General features: G+C 47.1%; 2 protein-coding genes across 2 annotated transcripts in view, besides 3 other annotated features; both read left to right on the top strand.

Annotated features, from left to right (window-relative positions):
- Window positions 1–18190, top strand: part of RPS10-NUDT3 (RPS10-NUDT3 readthrough) — a 138876-nt gene that overhangs the window by 26984 nt on the left and 93702 nt on the right. The window lies entirely within an intron of this gene.
- Window positions 6400–6809: a silencer, noted in NCBI's record as "silent region_17075". NCBI's record gives its function as "represses an Ori minimal core promoter by ATAC-STARR-seq in GM12878 lymphoblastoid cells {active_cell/tissue: GM12878}" and the evidence as "EXISTENCE:reporter gene assay evidence [ECO:0000049][PMID:35858748]".
- Window positions 6417–18190, top strand: part of NUDT3 (nudix hydrolase 3) — a 112991-nt gene continuing 101217 nt past the window's right edge. Inside the window, exon 1 of the mRNA NM_006703.4 lies at window positions 6417–6822. Coding sequence (NP_006694.1) covers window positions 6724–6822 — 99 coding nt within the window. The 5' untranslated portion in view covers window positions 6417–6723. The remainder of the gene's footprint in view (window positions 6823–18190) is intronic.
- Window positions 6820–7019: a silencer, noted in NCBI's record as "silent region_17074". NCBI's record gives its function as "represses an Ori minimal core promoter by ATAC-STARR-seq in GM12878 lymphoblastoid cells {active_cell/tissue: GM12878}" and the evidence as "EXISTENCE:reporter gene assay evidence [ECO:0000049][PMID:35858748]".
- Window positions 7340–7419: a silencer, noted in NCBI's record as "silent region_17073". NCBI's record gives its function as "represses an Ori minimal core promoter by ATAC-STARR-seq in GM12878 lymphoblastoid cells {active_cell/tissue: GM12878}" and the evidence as "EXISTENCE:reporter gene assay evidence [ECO:0000049][PMID:35858748]".

Raw genomic sequence — 18190 nt, 5'->3', positions numbered from 1 at the left:
GGCAGGGTCATGGGACAATAGTGGAGGGAAGGTCAGCAGATAAACAAGTGAACAAAGGTCTCTGGTTTTCCTAGGCAGAGGACCCTGCAGCCTTCCGCAGTGTTTGTGTCCCTGATTACTTGAGATTAGGGATTGGTGATGACTCTTAACGAGCATGCTGCCTTCAAGCATCTGTTTAACAAAGCACATCTTGCACCGCCCTTAATCCATTTAACCCTGAGTGGACACAGCACATGTTTCAGAGAGCACCGGGTTGGGGGTAAGGTCACAGATCAACAGGATCCCAAGGCAGAGGAATTTTTCTTAGTGCAGAACAAAATGAAAAGTCTCCCATGTCTACTTCCTTCCACACAGACACGGCAACCATCCGATTTCTCAATCTTTTCCCCACCCTTCCCGCCTTTCTATTCCACAAAGCCGCCATTGTCATCCTGGCCCGTTCTCAATGAGCCGTTGGGCACACCTCCCAGACGGGGTGGTGGCCGGGCAGAGGGGCTCCTCATTTCCCAGTAGGGGCGGCCGGGCAGAGGCGCCCCCCACCTCCCGGACGGGGCGGCTGGCCGGGCGGGGGGCCGACCCCCCAACCTCCCTCCCGGACGGGGCGGCTGGCCGGGCAGAGGGGCTCCTCACTTCCCAGTAGGGGCGGCCGGGCAGAGGTGCCCCTCACCCCCCGGACGGGGCGGCCGGCCGGGCAGGGGGGCTGACCCCCCCCACCTCCCTCCCGGACGGGGCGGCTGGCCGGGCAGGGGGGCTGACCCCCCCCACCTCCCTCCCGGACGGGGCGGCTGGCCGGGCAGGGGGCTGACACCCCCACCTCCCTCCCGGACGGGGCAGCTGGCCGGGCAGAGGGGCTCCTCACTTGCCAGTAGGGGCGGCCGGGCAGAGGCGCCCCTCACCTCCCAGACGGGGCGGCTGGCCGGGCAGAGGGCTGACCCCCCCACCTCCCTCCCGGACAGGGCGGCTGGCCGGGCGGGGGGCTGACCCCCCAACCTCCCTCCCGGACGGGGCGGCTGGCCGGGCAGAGGGGCTCCTCACTTCCCAGTAGGGGCGGCTGGGCAGAGGCGCCCCTCACCTCCCAGACGGGGCGGCTGGCCGGGTGGAGGGCTGACCCCCCCACCTCCCTCCCGGACGGGGCGGCTGGCCAGGCGGGGGGCTGACCCCCCCACCTCCCTCCCGGATGGGGTGGCTGGCCGGGCTGAGGGGCTCCTCACTTCCCAGTAGGGGCGGCCGGGCAGAGGCGCCCCTCACCTCCCGGACGGGGCGGCTGGCCGGGCGGGGGGCTGACCCCCCCATCTCCCTCCCGGATGGGGTGGCTGGCCGGGCTGAGGGGCTCCTCACTTCCCAGTAGGGGCGGCCGGGCAGAGGCGCCCCTCACCTCCCGGACGGGGCGGCTGGCCGGGCGGGGGGCTGACCCCCCCACCTCCCTCCCGGACGGCACGGCTGGCCGGGCGGGGGGCTGACCCCCCCACCTCCCTCCCGGATGGGGCGGCTGGCCGGGCGGGGGGCTGACCCCCCCCACCTCCCTCCCGGACGGGGTGGCTGCCGGGCGGAGACGCTCCTCACTTCCCAGATGGGGTGGCTGCCGGGCGGAGAGGCTCCTCACTTCTCAGACGGGGCAGCTGCCGGGCGGAGGGGCTCCTCACTTCTCAGACGGGGTGGTTGCCAGGCAGAGGGTCTCCTCACTTCTCAGACGGGGCGGCCGGGCAGAGACGCTCCTCACCTCCCAGACGGGGTCTCGGCCGGGCAGAGGCGCTCCTCACATCCCAGATGGGGCGGCGGGGCAGAGGCGCTCCCCACATCTCAGACGATGGGCGGCCGGGCAGAGACGCTCCTCACTTCCTAGATGTGATGGCGGCTGGGAAGAGGCACTCCTCACTTCCTAGATGGGATGGCGGCCGGGCGGAGATGCTCCTCACTTTCCAGACTGGGCAGCCAGGCAGAGGGGCTCCTCACATCCCAGACGATGGGCGGCCAGGCAGAGACACTCCTCACTTCCCAGACGGGGTGGCGGCCGGGCAGAGGCTGCAATTTCGGCACTTTGGGAGGCCAAGGCAGGCGGCTGCTCCTTGCCCTCGGGCCCCGCGGGGCCCGTCCGCTCCTCCAGCCGCTGCCTCCCGGGCGGCGCTCGCCGGCGCGGCGGCAAAGACTGAGACAGCTCCGCTGCCAGCTGAACTCCATCCTCCCGGCGGTCGGGCGGCGGCGGCTGCCCTGATTTTTCCTTAGGGAATCACTCTTTCCTTGTCATTAGTCCATGTGGTTCTGGAGGGATTATTTCACCTCTGACTCCAGAGGGTGCCATAGGACTCAGGAGTGGCCCATGAGATCAGTGCCTTCTATTTATTTTTCATGTCTTATTTCACTAGCTAGGATCTCTAATACAATACTTAATAATAGCAGTGAGAGGAGATATTCTTGCCTTGCTTTTGATCTTAATGGGAAAACATTTATTCTTTCACCATTTCACCTGTTGTTCATAGGTGTCCTTTATCAGGTGGTGAATGTTTGCTTCTATTCCTAGCTTGCTGAGAGTATTGACTGTGAAATAATAATTTTATTTAAAAGTCAAGTGCTTTTCTAGGATCAAGACAATCATATAGTTGTTCTCTTTTATGATGTTGATGTGGTTTATTTCACTGATTTTTGTAAAGTTAAACTAACTTTATATTCTTGTATTAAATTTTTGGTCATAATATATTTCACTGTATATATTGCTGGATTCTATTTATTGATATGTTCTTCATGATTTGTGTGTGTGTGTGTGTGTGTGTGTTCATGAAGGATACAGGTCTGTAACTTTTTTCTTGTAATTATCAGATTTTCATATCATAATTATTTCAGCTTCATAAAATAAGTTTAAAGTATTCTTTCCTCCTCTGTTTTCTGAAAAAGCTTGTGTAGAATTTGTATCCCTTCTTTCTTGGGTTTTTGATAGATTTCACCAATGCTACCACCTGGCACTGGAATTTTCTTTATGGCAAGTTTTTTTGATTAGACTTATTTTAGAATAGCTTTAGGTCTATAGAAAAGTTGTGAAGATAGTAGAGTTCCCATGTGCTCCACACCCAGTTTTCCTTATTGTTGACATCTTACATTAATATGATACATTTGTCAGTATATTATTATTATTATATTACTATTATTTTTGAGATAGGGTCTTGCTCTGTTGCCCAGGTTGGAGTGTAGTGGTGCAATCTTGGCTCACTGCAACCTCTGCTTCCAGGGCTCAAGCTCTCCTCCCACCTCAGCCTCCCAAGTAGTTGGGACTACAAGTGCACACCACCATGCTTGGCTATTTTTATTTTTTACAATTAATCTTTTCAAAGAAACAACTTTTGGCTTTGTTGTTTCTATTGTTTGATTTATATTTCATTGATTTCTTCTTTTATTAACTTCTTCCCCTACTTAATTTGGGTTTACTTTTTTCTAGCTTATTTTATTTATTAGTTTGTTTTGAGATAGGGTCTTGCTCTATTTCCCAGGCTGGAGTGCAGTGGTGTGATCTTGGCTCATTGCAACCTCTGCCTCTCAGGCTCAAGTGATCCTCCTACCTCAGCTTCCTGAGTAGCTGGGACTACTGGTGCCACCATACCCAGCTAAGTTTTGTATTTTTCATAGAAACGGGGTTTCACTATGTTGCCTAGGCTGGTCTCAAACTCCTGGGCTCAAGTGGTCTACGTGTCTCAGCCTCCTAAAGTGCTAGGATTACAGGTGTGAGCCATTGCACTCAGCCTTTTCTTGCATCTTAAGGTGGAAATTTATAATATTGATTTTAAGCTTTTCCTCCTTTCTAATACTAGTTGAATCTATTTATATCCTTCTAAGCACTGCTTTTTTTTTTTTTTTTTGCAGCGATGGGGTTTCACCATGTTGTCCAGGCTGGTCTCCAACTCCTGGACTCACGCAATCTGCCCCTCTCAGCCTCCCAAAGTGCTGGGACTACAGGTGTGAGCCATTGCGCCCAGCCTCCTTTAGTTAAGCCTCATAAATACTGATATCAGTTAGAAACATTTTATCTTTTGTGACTTTTGTTTCATGGGTTACTTAGAAGTAGATTATTTAATTTACAAATATTTGAGCCTTTTCTAGATATCCTATTATGGTGTTTTCTAATTTAAGTCCTTTTCCCCATGAACATATTCTATGCAATTTCAGTCCTTTAACATTTATTGAAGCTTATTTTATGGACATGCTTATGGTCTATGTTGACAGATGTTCTTTCAGATGTTCTTTTTTTTTTTTTTTTTTTTTTGAGATGGAGTCTCACACCGTCCACCAGGCTGGAGTGCAGTGGCACGATCTCAGCTCACTGCAACCTCTCCCTCCCGGGTTCAAGCGATTCTCCTGTCTCAGCTTCCTGAGCGGCTGGGATTACAGGCACGCACCACCACGCCCGGCTAATTTTTGTATTTTTAGTAGACACGGGGTTTCACTGTGTTGGTCAGGCTGGTCTCGAACTCCTGACCTCAGATGATCTGCCCACCTTGGCCTCCCAGAGTGCTGGGATTACAGGCTTGAGCCACTGCGCCCGGCCGAGTATAATTTTTTAAAACAAATTTAAATGTACTACTTACCCATTATCTTCAAGGAAAGGACAGAATCCCTTGGTTAATGCTCCCTGAACAAAGACAAAGTAATTATTACTCAGTCAAGGGATCTGGGAGTAATCTTGTGGGCTCTTGAAACTAAACATGCCCATAGGCTGGGAGCAGTGGCTTATGCCTGTAACCCCAGTACTTTGGGAGGCTGAGGCAGAAGGACTGCTTGAGCCCAGGAGTTCGAGGCCAGCCTGGGCAACATGGTGAAACCCTGTCTCTACAAAAACATACAAAAGTTGGCTGGACGTGGTAGCACTCCAGGCTGCATGACAGGCGCCTGTGGTCCCAGTTACTTGGGAGGCTGAGGTGGGAGCATCGCTTGAGCCCAGGAGGTCTAGGCTGCAGTTGAGCTGGCTGAGATTATGCCACTGCACTCCACCTTAATTGACACAGCAAGACCCTGTCTCCAAAAAACAATCAATCAAACAAAAAACCCCAAACAAACAAAAACATGCCCATAAAAAGTCAGGGTAAGGAATTAGAAACCAAAAGAAAACCTCCATCTATCTATTCATTCAACATTTACTGAACTCTAATTTTCTTTTCTTGAAGAGAGGAAAGTTTAATAGGCAAACAAACTATTAATAGCATCTGGTGTGCCCTGAGTGCTTGCTATGTGCCAGGGCCAAGTAGGTCTCTATTTTGCGGAAGTTAAAATATGATGTAATCGGGTGGTATGAGCATTAAAAAAAATGTAATTGAGGTTACAACCAAGGTGTATTTGCTTTCAAATCCAGATCTTTTTGACTATGCTAAATACAAGCAAATTCAAAAAGGGGAATTAGCCGGCTGCTGTGGCTCACACCAGTAATCCCAGTGCTTTGGGAGGCCGAGGGTGGATAGCTTCGAGGCCAGGAATTCCGGACCAGCCCGGGCAACAAAATGTTAAATAAAAAAATTTTAAAAAATTAAATAAAAAAATTTAAAAAACAAAAAAGGGTATTAAACAACTCACAGACAGATACTGCACAGGATTTTTGGTACGTTTAGGGCATCTGCATGGTACTTGGTTTGTTCTGGGTTGCTGAGAACATTCACAGGTCATACACCAGTTTTCCTTTCTGGAGAGCTTCTGTCTGTATATCTTTTCCTGGAGAATCTGTTTGACATCCACAACACACACTCCTCATTTATTGCCAGAAACGATGATGTTTTATGATTTACATTATGTGTGTACACACGCACGCACGCGCGCGTGTTCCTTTCTGGCCCTCTTGTTTACCATAAGAGGAAGCAATTACCTTTAGCATCAATAAAAGATTGCAGAATAAATATTTGTTCTTTGTAATGGGCGACATGCACCAGCCCCTAAGACATCCTGAGGTTCAGGCTATCAACGCAAAGTGCACACGCCTCCCATGCGCCGTTTCCTTGCAGTTCCAAATCCCAGATGTCTCAGGCTGCAGCTTCCGTTGCCTTTAACTACATCCTCCTTTTTCCAACAAACCTTCCCCCTCAACCCCTTCGAGACCGACCGGCAGGGCCCAGGGGCGGGTGGCGTGACCTTGGTTCATCCTCGGCCGCGGAGACGCGGCGTGACCTTGGCCAAGTCCCCGCTTCCCCATCCGCAGACTTGCGCGGCTGGACCGCTCGGTCTCCGCTCCGGCCGCTAGGCGTCCTGCGCCGCTGTTCTTATCTCCCCCGGCTTCCTCCGCGCACCCCACCAGTTCTACGCCTACGCTGCCGGCGTAGCGGTCGCCTGGAGTCGCGCGTCCCTCTCCTTTCAGATGCTGGTTTCCACCGCGCGAACTGGGAGGGCGCGATTCGCGAACGCGGCCTGCGCTGCGAGCGCGCGGCCGTCCCGCAGGCCGGTGCAGCCTTACGCCGCTGACGCATCGCGCCCAAGATGGCGGCGCGGTCGTCGTCGGGGGTGGCGGCGGCAGAGGGGGCGGCGGCCCTGGCGGCAGCGGAGACGGCAGCCGTGACGGTGGCAGCGGCGGCGCGGGACCTGGGCCTGGGGGAATGAGGCGGCCGCGGCGGGCCAGCGGCGGAGCCGTGTAGCGGAGAAGCTCCCCCTCCCTGCTTCCCTTGGCCGAGCCGGGGGCGCGCGCGCACGCGGCCGTCCAGAGCGGGCTCCCCACCCCTCGACTCCTGCGACCCGCACCGCACCCCCACCCGGGCCCGGAGGATGATGAAGCTCAAGTCGAACCAGACCCGCACCTACGACGGCGACGGCTACAAGAAGCGGGCCGCATGCCTGTGTTTCCGCAGCGAGAGCGAGGAGGAGGTGAGGCGGCAGGCTGGGCGGGCCGGGGTCGCCGGGTCTCCGGCCCCTTCGGGTGGAGGCGCGAGGGGCGCGGCCGCCGGAGGAGGGTGTGCCAGGGCCGCCCCGCTCGGGCGGAATGAAGTTCCGATGGAATTTCCTGAGGCGAAAAAAGGGGGAAGGAGAAAGGACGTTGGGGCTGAGGGGAAGCGGGTTTGAGTGCGGCTGCACAGGGCGCGCCGGGCGGAGGGGGTAGCCGGCTTGTGGCCGGAGCGCTTCGGTTCCGCCGCCTGTTACCGGGGAGAGCGGCCGCGGGAGAAGGCAGTGGGCTGGGAAGAGTGCGGCTTTCGGTCCAGGCCAACGGCTTTGATCCTGGAAGGGCCGCTCCGCAGTTGTCAGCCAGGCACATGTGTGCGGAGGCCGGCGTGCACGAGGCGCGGGCCGGCCTTTGTGGCAGAGAAATAGTGCACTTCATTGGCAGGTTTGGGGTTTGCCGAGGGATTATATGTCTGTGAGCCCAAAGCTGAGGGGTGGGGGTGGGGTGTCTTCGGAAGATTTAGGGCGTTGTGCATAAGCCATAGCCAGCTGTTTATTTTACAGTGCGCTGGGTAGCCTTTATGGTGTAGTCTGAGAAGAAAAGACATTTGATATAATAATCTTTGTGTGCTGAAAATGTTTCATGTTAATTGGGAAGACCAAAAGCGGTATTTAACATTTTTGCCCTGACGTTCCTCCACTGCCTTGTGGGAAGACTCTTAGGATTAAATTAGCTAGGAAAATAATGTTTTAGAATCAGTTTCTTTTTATAATAGGTAGGGTACTTTAAAAAAAAATCTCGGCTTCCCAAAGCCGTTTCTGTGGTGATGAAGGGAATTCAGAGAAGCACATGTTTTGTAAATCCACAAAAGAGTAGCTGCTTTGGAAATTCATAAGATGCCTGTGGGAATGCATTTCTCGTGTGCATGGTGGTAAAATGGCAGTTAAACTGGAAACAATGAAGGACAGTGAAATCCAATATGTTATATTGGATTCAGCAGTGGGCTATGGTGGCAGGGCCGCAGTACAGTGCAGTGTCGAAATGGGGAAAGGAACTTGACCCGTTAGTTATGAAAAGAAGCTGTGGCGAAAGAGACAGATGGATTGCCAGGAGTTGCTGTCCAGAGGTATTTAGGAGGAAGTGGGAATTTGAATTACTGCCTGAAGAAAATTAGTTAGTGAATTGTGTTGTTAAGGGATCCCATGTGTGCTCCCTTTCAGCAAAACAGAACGAAAGGAGATTTGGAAACGTATGCTTTGTATCCTACCATATATTGTAAAAGTCCCCAAAACAGATGCATTGTAATAGCTAACCAGGGCCATGCTGTAAATTATATACTGTTTTGGAATGCATATTTGAGTAAAGTAAAATTATTGGTGGTGCTTATTGCTCCAGAGCCTTTATTCTCCTCATTATCATATCATGTTATGGGAAATCAGATGGGATCACAGGCTCTTAACTGAAGGGAAAACTAATTAGCATAATAGCATGTCTTACTACACTAGTATGCATAAATCTGTGAGCACCCCAATTATAAGTATAATTTAGTTGTACGAATGATGCAAGACTGTTTGTTTTAAAAAAATCACACCAGGCCGGGCGTGGTGGCTCACGCCTGTAATCCTAGCACTTCAGGAGACCAAGGTGGTGAGGCCAAGAGTTCGAGACCAACCTGGCCAACACAGATCCCCATCTCTAAATATAAAAAAAAATAATAATAATAAATCATACTAGAAATAGAAAATGTATTTTTGATAAATTGAAAACTATAGATCATAAGCAAACTAGCAACGGCTTAATTTTCCATTTTCTGTTAAATGTTTTGTTATGCACTGACATTAGCAACATTAATGTTGAAAGCTTACTTGTCTGTTTAGGCTACCTCACGGCATCTCACAAGTCAGACCAGGCATAGGACTTGCCTTCTAGGAGCTTACTTTTTTTCTTTTTTTTTTTTGAGACCGACTCTTGCTATGTCGCCCAGGCTGGAGTGCAGTGGCCCCATCTTGGCTCACTGCAACCTCTGCCTCCCAGGTTCAGGCGATTCTAGGAGCTTGCATTTTTATTTTTAAAATTTTATTTATTTACTTATTTTTATTTATTTATTTATTTTGAGACGGAGTCTCGCTCTTTCGCCCAGGCTGGAGTGCAGTGGCGTGATCTCGGCTCATTGCAACCTCCACCTCCCGGGTTCAAGCTGTTCTCCCTGCCTCAGCCTCCCGAGTAGCTGGGATTACAGGCACCTGCCATAATGCTTGGCTAGTTTTCTGTATTTTTTTTTTTTTTTGAGACAGAGTCTTGCTCTGTCGCCCATGGTGGAGTGCAGTGGCACCATCTCGGCTCACTGCAAGCTCCGCCTCCCGGATTCACGCCATTCTCCTGCCTTAGCCTCCCGAGCAGCTGGGACTACAGGTGCCCGCGACCACGTCTGGCTAATTTTTTTGTATTTTTAGTAGAGATGGGTTGTTACCGTGTTAGCCAGGATGGTCTCAATCTCCTGACCTCATGATCCACCCGCGTTGGCCGCCCAAAGTGCTGGGATTACAGGCGTGAGCCACTGTGCCCGACCTTTATTTATTTATTTATTTATTTTGAGACAGGGTCTTACTGTGTCACCCAGGTTGGAGTGTAGTGGTGTGATCATGGCTCACTGCAGCCTCAACCTCCTATGCTCAAGCAATCCTCCCGTCTCAGCCTCCCAAGTAGCTGGGACTACATGCACAAGCCACCACATCTGGTTGATTTTTAAATTTTATGTAGAGACAGGGTGTATTAGTCCATTTTCACACTGTTATAAAGAAATACCTGAGACTGAGTAATTTATAAAGAAAGAGGTTTAATTGACTCACAGTTATACATGGCTGGGGAAGCCTCAGGAAACTTACAATCATGGCAGAAGGCAAAGGGGAAGTAAGAACCTTCTTCACAAGGCAGCAGGAGAGAGAGAAGGGAAGGAGGAACTCCCAAACACTTGTAAAACCATTGGATTTCGTGAGCATTCACTAGCATGAGAACCGCATGGGGGAAACTCCCCATGATCCAGTTACCTCCCTCACTCAACACATGGGAGGGATTACAGGTTCCCTCCCTCCACAGGTGGTGATTACAAATCGAGATGAGATTTGGGTGGGGACACAGAGCCATAGCATATCACAGGGTCTCCCTTTGTTGCCCAGGCTATTGTCAAACTCCTGGGCTCAAGAGATCCTCCCATCTCAGCCTCCCAAAATGCTGGGATTATAGGCAAGAGCCACTTTGCCAGGCCAGGAGCTTAAAATTTTAAACTGTTAAAATGAGTTTCTTTAATGCATTGAGTTTCCTTTATTGAATTTCTTTTTGAACGTTGGCTAATGAGCCGAGGAATCATGCAAAGCTTTAAATTACAGATTCAGTGGGTGTTACAGCTAAAGCCTGGGAAGAAAAATAAAATGAGTGAAATACGTCCATTTTAGATTTGTTCAGTTCAACAAACATGTATGAGAAACAACAAAAAGCATGTATTAAAGAGCCTGCTATGGCTGCAGCGCTGTGTCATGGAGAATCTAAATATTAGCATCCCTTCTTGCAGACAGAGTTGAGTAGTTTTAGATGAGATTCCTTAATTGGGAGGGATTTTGGACCACAGAATAATCTCTAGGGTGCTTTTCAACTCTCAGATTATATAATTATGTTGGAAGGGAAGTAATTTGTTAGTTCCAGGAGAACTTTTATGTTCTCAGTAGATGTGCCAGAAGCATTAGCTGCCACACATTGTGGGAATGTAAAATTCCAACCGAATAAGGCATTCAACCCAATTAAAAAAAATTTTAATGGGCACTAATGGCCTTAATCAAGATAGAATAGTTTACAGAATATTATTAGCATTAATACAGTAGTAATATAAGTATAAATAGGACCTTGATTTATAAATTTAAGCAATGTCAAGAAGCATACATGGAATGTGAAGAAAAAGAGATGAAAATACAGCCATGTGTCGCTTAACGTTGGGGATACGTACTGAGAAATGCATCATTAGGTGATTTTGTTGTTGTGTAAACATCATAGAATGTACTTACACATACCTGGATGGTATAGCCTACTGCACATGTAGGCTATATGGTATAGCCTATTGCTCCTAAGCTGCAAAACTGTACAGCATGTGACTGTACTGAATAAATAGGCAATTGTAATGCAGTAGTATTTGTGTATCTAAACATATCTAAACAAGCAAAGTACAGGAAAAATACGGTACAAAAAATAAAAAATGGTTCACCTGACCAGGACACTTATTATGACTGGAAGTTGCTCTGGGTGCATCAGTGAGTGAGCGGTGAGTAAATGCGAAGGCCTAGGGCATTACTGTACACTACAGAAACACTGTACAGCTTAGGTTGCACTAAATCAAAAAATTATTTTTCTTCGATAATAAATTAACCTTAGCTTACTGTAATTTTTTTACTTTATAAACTTTTACATTTTTTAACATTCTGACTCGTTTGTAATACTTAGCTTAAAACACATTGTACAGCTATATAACAATATTTTTCTCTTTCTTTCCTGTCATACTAAAATCACTTTTTTTTTTTTTTTTTTTTTTTAAAAAGAGATGAGATCTTGCTCTGTTCCCCAGGCTGGTCTTGAATTCCTGGGCTCAAGTGATCCTTCCACCTCAGCCTCCCAAGCAGCTAGGACAACTGGTGTATGCCGCCATGCCTGGCTAATGTTTTCTTCATTATATCTTTATTCTAGAAACTTTATTTAAAAATATTATTTAGTATTTGTTTGTTTTACTTTTTGTTCCTCTGGCTACCCATATTTTACTTTTTAAGCTTTTTCTTTGGTTGAAAACAAAGACACAAACACACATTAACCTAGGCCTACACAGGGTCAGGATCATCAGTATCACTGTCTTCCACCTCCACATCTTATCCCACTGGGAGGTCTTCAGGAGAGTAACAGGCGTGGAGCTATCATCTCCTATGATAACAATCCCTTCTTCTGAGACTGTTTTACAATTAACTTTTTAAAAAAATAGAATACACTCTACAGTTAAACAATAAAAAGTACAGTATAGTAAATACAGAAACCAGTAATAGTCATTTACTATCAAGTATTATGTACTGCACATAATTGTATGTGCTACATTTTGTTGTTGTTGTTTTGAGACAGGGTCTTACTCTGTTGCCCAGGCTGGAGTATAATGGTGTGATCACAGCTCACTGCAGCCTTGACCTTCTGGGCTTAAGCGATCCTCCCACCTCAACAAGTATCTGGGGCTCCAGGCACATGCCACCATGCCTGGCTAATTTTTGTATTTTTTTGTAGAGATAGGGTTTCGGCATGTTGCCCAGGCTGGTCTTGAACTCCTGGACTAAGGCAATCTGCATCCTCAGCCTCCCTAAGTGCTGGGATTACAGGCATGAGCCACCGTGCTCAGCTGTGCTAGACTTTTATATGACCGGCAGCACAGTAGGTTTGATTGTGTACTCACCATAAACACATGAGTAATGCATTGTGCTGTGACACCACAGCTATGATGGGATAGGAATTTCTCAACTCCATTATAATCTCTTGGGACTACTCTTGTATATGTGGTCTGTAGTTGACTGAAATGTTATATAGTCCATGACTATATTAGAAGGTAATAGATCATGGGTAGCCAAACCTATCATTCTAGGTTTTTTTTTTCCCCAGCCCCAGAAAACTTTATTTATAGACCAGCAATGAGAGGCTGAAATTCTGATCCAGGTTAGGATGTGTCAACATAGCAAATTTATTGAACACTCATTGAGTGCCAAGTTCTGTGATACTGTTATGAAGGAGACAGACATGCAGGGAGCTTAGAGTCTAATGGGAGAGATGGAAGAACAAACAGACCAAACAGCATGATGAAAATGATTACCTTTTCTTTTTCTGGCTTCTCTTCTTGTTGACAAACAAAAATTAACAGGAAAAAACTTCCCACTTAAAAAGTTGTACTGATTGTTATTGGTATGTTGATAACATCTTTAAATTGGGTATTTGTGGTAACTAACATTTATTACAGTAGTTTGAACCTGATATACAGTTTCTTAACCAACCACCACTTTAACCAGCTTGGTACACTGAATGCTTGGCTGTTACACAGCAGGCTGCTGGGTCTGGTGTACCCCAACCAGGTGGCCTCCCAGCTGCCAAATTGTGTGATTACAATTAGTTACCTCTATTCCTTTATCTGTTTATGTTCATTGTACTTGTTATTGTAATTGTGCAACTTAACCAGTGAACTTTGAGTTCAGAAAAGAACAAGGCTCAGCATGGTGGCTCACGCCTATAATCCCAGCACTTTGGGAGACCAAGGTGGGCGGATCACATGAGCCCAGGAATTTGAGACCAACCTAGGCAACATGGTGAAACCCCCTCTTTACTGAAAATACAAAACTAGCCAGGCACGGTGGTGTGCAGCCTGTAGTCCCAGCTACATGGGAGGCTGAGGCACAAGAATTGCTTGAACCCAGGAGACGGAGGTTGCAGTGAGCCAACAGCACGCCACTGCACTCCAGCCTAGGTGACAGAGTAAGAGTCTGTCTCAAAAAAAAAAAAAAAGAAATTACTGCTCACTTATATGGACAAACAAACTGAGAAGACTGGAGAGGGGATCTTAAAAGTCTAGAAGGACTCTGCACATAGATTACTTCATGAATGTTTTTAGGTTTTTGTTCTTTATAAAAACTAGGACTGGAAAACATAGGTCATTGATTATGGATGTGGCATATGAAAGAAAGACAACTTAACAATTCAAACAAACAAAACAAAACAAGATCTTGGCCCTACAAAGATTACCAAATAACTACATGTTTATATACATATAAAAGATTTATTTGCTAATAATATGTAATATGGTCTCGAACTCCCGACCTCAGGTGATCCGCCCGCCTCGGCCTCCCAAAGTGCTGGGATTATAGGCATGAGCCACTGTGCCTGGCCATATTTTTTATTTTTTGTAGAGATGAGGTCTCATGTTTCCCAGACTGGTCTGGAACTCCTGGCTCAAGTGATCCTCCCTTCTTGGCCTCCCAAAGTGTTGAGATTATAGGCATGAGCCATCACATCTGGCCTGATTATTTAATATTTTCATTTGCTTCCTCTTTGCACATAATATATAATTAGTAATATATAAAGTATGTATATATAAATGTATATTTATCTGCTAATCTTTGTTCTTAGGGCCAAGATCTTGTTTTGAGTTTTTTTTTTTTTTTTGGAGGCAGGGTCTTGCTCTGTTGACCAGGCTGGAATGCAGTAATGCGATCTCAGGTCACTGCAGCTTCCACCTCCCAGGCTCAAGTGATCCTCCCACCTCAGCCTCCCAAGTAGATGGAAGTACAAGTGCCTGCCACCTTGCCCAGCTATTTTGTGTGTGTGTGGAGACAGGGTCTCACTATGTTACTCAGGCTGGTTTTGAACTCCTGAGCTCAAGCGATCCTCCCACCTCAGCCTCCCAAAGTGCTAGGATTACATGCATGAGACACCACGCCCAACCTACATTTATATTTTTTAATCAACCGTATCCTTTACTTGATACTTTATCATACACTGTGTGGAAGACTGTAACTTCTTGAGTAAGATTTTATAATCCAAAATTGGGTAATATGATATTCATCTGTCATATTATTCAACTTTGGCCCTGCTAAAGTACTTCCAGTGAGATTATCCCTCTTCCCCCAGCCTTTCCTTTTTTAGAGCCTCTGTGAGGAGAAGTGAGAGACAGGGATGGGCTTGTTTGTACTCTTAGAAAGGCCAAATGATACAGAACATACAACAAATGACATCACAGTGCCTAGGAAAGTTAAAGCTGCTCCTAACGGGTCTGTTTTTACCCAGGGAGAAAAATGACTACTAATAGGATTGTGTGAGTTAGATTTCCCTGTGCCTTAAAGCTGTTTTAATAAAGAAAGGATGAAGCTGTTCCTAAGTTGTTAGGTTCGTTTGTTGTACTTTTCCACTAGAAGCCCTATATCTCTTGGCAAAGGGGAGCTGCTTCACATTTTCTCAGATCCTTCAGCTCACCAGGTTGGAACGGAGAGATGATTGACATTGGAGCTCTTCAGTGGGCAGAGACTGGTGGCCTGTTTGTCTGTAAAATGCCCCAGAGGAGCAGGTGGACTGACGTCTCTGCAGACTGCACCTTCCAGCAGGCTCTAGAGAAGAGAGTAAGACACAGGTAGCAATCCCAGAGGCAATAATCATGACAAAGGGCTTCCAGCAGATCCCAAGGTGGTTTGGGAGTCCTTTTGTAACACATCTTGGTCACCGTTCAATATTACATTGCTCTAAGATCATGATGGGTTCATTGATCCCGTCATGACTGGACATTTCTGCTTCTCATTTCTCAAAATCTTTCCTGGAAGCTTTTTTCCCCTGCTTTCCCTTCTGTTTGCCTAATACCAGTTAGTCATGTCTTCCATTACGTTATTTTTTGCCTCCTTCCCAAGGTGTGAATTCTGGTCTGAATTCATACTGCAGTCTCCATTCTTTTTATGTCTTTGCCCCAATCCTACTTCTTTGTTTCTGCTTTAATTCTCATTTCTCAATAAAAATAGTGCTGCACATCTACTGTGTGCTGTGTCTGAAGCAATCTATATCTTCATAGCCTAGTACAGAAAGGAAGGGCCCTTGTTCAGGAATACAATTGTTTATTCATTTCTTCAGCACACATTTTTGGAGTGTCTGTGTAAGACCTTGGGAATACATGGATAAATAAGACTGCTCAGCATTTTGGGAGGCCTACGTGGGAGGATCGCTTGAGCTGGGGATGTCTAGGATGTGGTGAGCTGTGTTTGCATCACTGCACTCCAGCCTGGGCAACAGAGTGAGAGAGACCCTGGCTCCAAAAAGAAAACACCATAAAATGAAATGATCCCTTAAATAGACTTCCTTTGTATACAATTAGTTGATCTCTTTGTTCATAAAACAGTAAAGTTTTATGAACTGCTTAGAAAATCTTTTCTTCGGCTTGGTTATTTAACATATTTCTGATGTGTTTTGTAAGAGCAGCTTAGCAATGATGAATAAAAAGGAGTATGAGCTCAGACATAGTGCTTATGCTTTTCTTAAAAGGAGGAAGGATTGTGATTTTTCTTTTTTCCTTTTTTTTTTTTTTTTTGAGATGGAGTCTTGCCCTGTCACCCAGGCTGGAGTGCAATGGCGCCATCTTGGCTCACTGCAACCTCCGCCTCCCAGGTTCAAACGATTCTCCTGCCTCAGCCTCCCGAGTAGCTGGGATTACAGGTGCCTGCCACCGCACCCAGCTAATTTTTGCAGTTTTAGTAGAGATAGGGGTTTCACCACCTTAGCCAGGCTGGTCTCGAACTCCTGACCTTGTGATCCACCCTCCTCGGCCTCCCAAAGTGCTAGGATTACAGGTGAGAACCACCGCGCCCGGCCTTTCCTTTTTTTTTTGAGACAGGGTCTTGCTCTGTCATCCAGGTTGGTGTGCTGTGATGCAGTCATGGCTAACTGCAGCCTTGACCTCCTGAGCTCAAGCGATCCTCCTTCCTCAGCCTCCCGTGTAGCTAAGATTACAGGCATGCACCACCATGCCTGGCTAATTTATTTTTAGTAGAGACAGGGTCTTGCTATGTTGCTCAGGCTGGTCTCAAACTCCTGAGCTGAAGCAGCAGCCCTCCTGCCTTGACCGAAGCAGCAGCCCTCCTGCCTTGACCTTCCAAAGTGCTGGGATTACAGGTGTGAGCCACTATACCTAACCATGATTTTTATTTGAATATTTAGAAATCCTAATAAAATATACATTAAGAAAAGTTACAAAACAAACAAAAAAAGAGAAGTTACATTGTGCTTATACTTTGAAATTTGTTTGTTTGTGTTTTGAGACAGGGTCTGGGTCTGCCACCCAGGCTGGAGTGTAGTGGTGTGATCATAGCTCAATGCAGCCCCAACCTTCCGGGCGCAAGTGATGCTCTCACCTCAGCCTCCTGAGTAGCTGGGACTACAGGCATGTGCCACCACACCCTCCTAATATATATTTTTTTTATTTTTTGTAGAGATGAGGTTTCATTATGTTGCCCAGACTGGTCTGGAACTCCTGGCTCAAGTGATCCTCCCTCCTTGCCCTCCCGAAGTGTTGGGATTACGTGCACGAGCCACCACATCTGGCCTGTTTGATTATTTAATTTTTTTTTTTTTTTTTTTTTTTTTTTGAGATAGAGTCTCGCTCTGTCGCTCAGGCTGGAGTGCAGTGGTGTGATCTTGGCTCGCTGCAACCCCCGTCTCCCGGGTTCAGGTGATTTTCCTGTGTCAGCCTCCCGAGTAGCTGGGGTTACAGGTGTCCACCACCAAGCCTGGCTAATTTTTGTATTTTTAGTACAGCTGGGGTTTCACCATGTTGGCCAGGCTGGTCTCGAACTCCTGACCTCGTGATCTGCCTGCCTCGGCCTCCCAAAGTGCTGGGATTACAGGTGTGAGCCACCGTGCCCAGCCGATTATTTAATATTTTTATTTGCTTCCTTTTTGCAGAAATGATTTGATTGCTAGGCTTATATTCAGCCATCATTAACCAAATGTGCTGAGCCCTGACTCAGGGCTTTTACATCTATCACTGTGGTATTGATTTCTTCCTAGGAGGCTTTGCAGTTTGGATAGTCTGCCTTTAATAATAGTAAGACAAAACTTTTAGATTTTATTGCCAATATGAGTTAGGAAAACAGTCCAGAGAATTTCTGTATATAATAATTGTATTTCTGTGGGTTTTTTTTTGTAGGTTCAATTATTTTAGCTGGGCACAATCATCCTTCTGCCAGGGTGTATGGGTCATTTTTTTTTCAAGAGGGAATTATTATTTTTGGTTACAAAAGTAATTGTATTGTGGTATCTATAAAGAATACTTCAAACTGAAGAGTTTTAAAATGTGTAGAATACAGAATCTGAGCTTCAGTCTACTGGCAAGATGCAATTTAGGCCGGGTGCAGTGACTCACACCTGCAATCTTAGCCCTTTGGGAAGCCGAGTGGGAGGATTGCTTGAGCTCAAGAGTTTGAGACAAGGCTGAGCAATGTAGTGGGACCTCGTCTCTATAAAAAAATTTAAAAATTAGCCTGGTGTGGTGGTGTGCGCCTGTGGTCCTAGCTACTTGGGAGGCTGTGATGGGAGGATCACTGGAGCGTGGGAGGTCAAGGCTGCAGTAAGTCATGGTTGTGCCACTGCACTTCAGCCTGGGTGACAGAGTAAGACCCTGTCTAAAAAGCAAAATAAGATGCAGTTTGGAGTGTAAAATAGAGAAGTATGGAGAGAGGTGTTTATAGGAATTGGAGAAGCCTTTGAAGAAAGATGAGCTAGAGTGTCAGGGATGACTTTATGGAGCAGGCTAGACCTGAACAG

This window comes from Homo sapiens, chromosome 6 (assembly GCF_000001405.40).
Source record: "Homo sapiens chromosome 6, GRCh38.p14 Primary Assembly".
In the NCBI taxonomy this organism is placed as follows: domain Eukaryota; kingdom Metazoa; phylum Chordata; class Mammalia; order Primates; family Hominidae; genus Homo; species Homo sapiens.
This window is presented reverse-complemented; position numbering and strand designations above follow the sequence as displayed.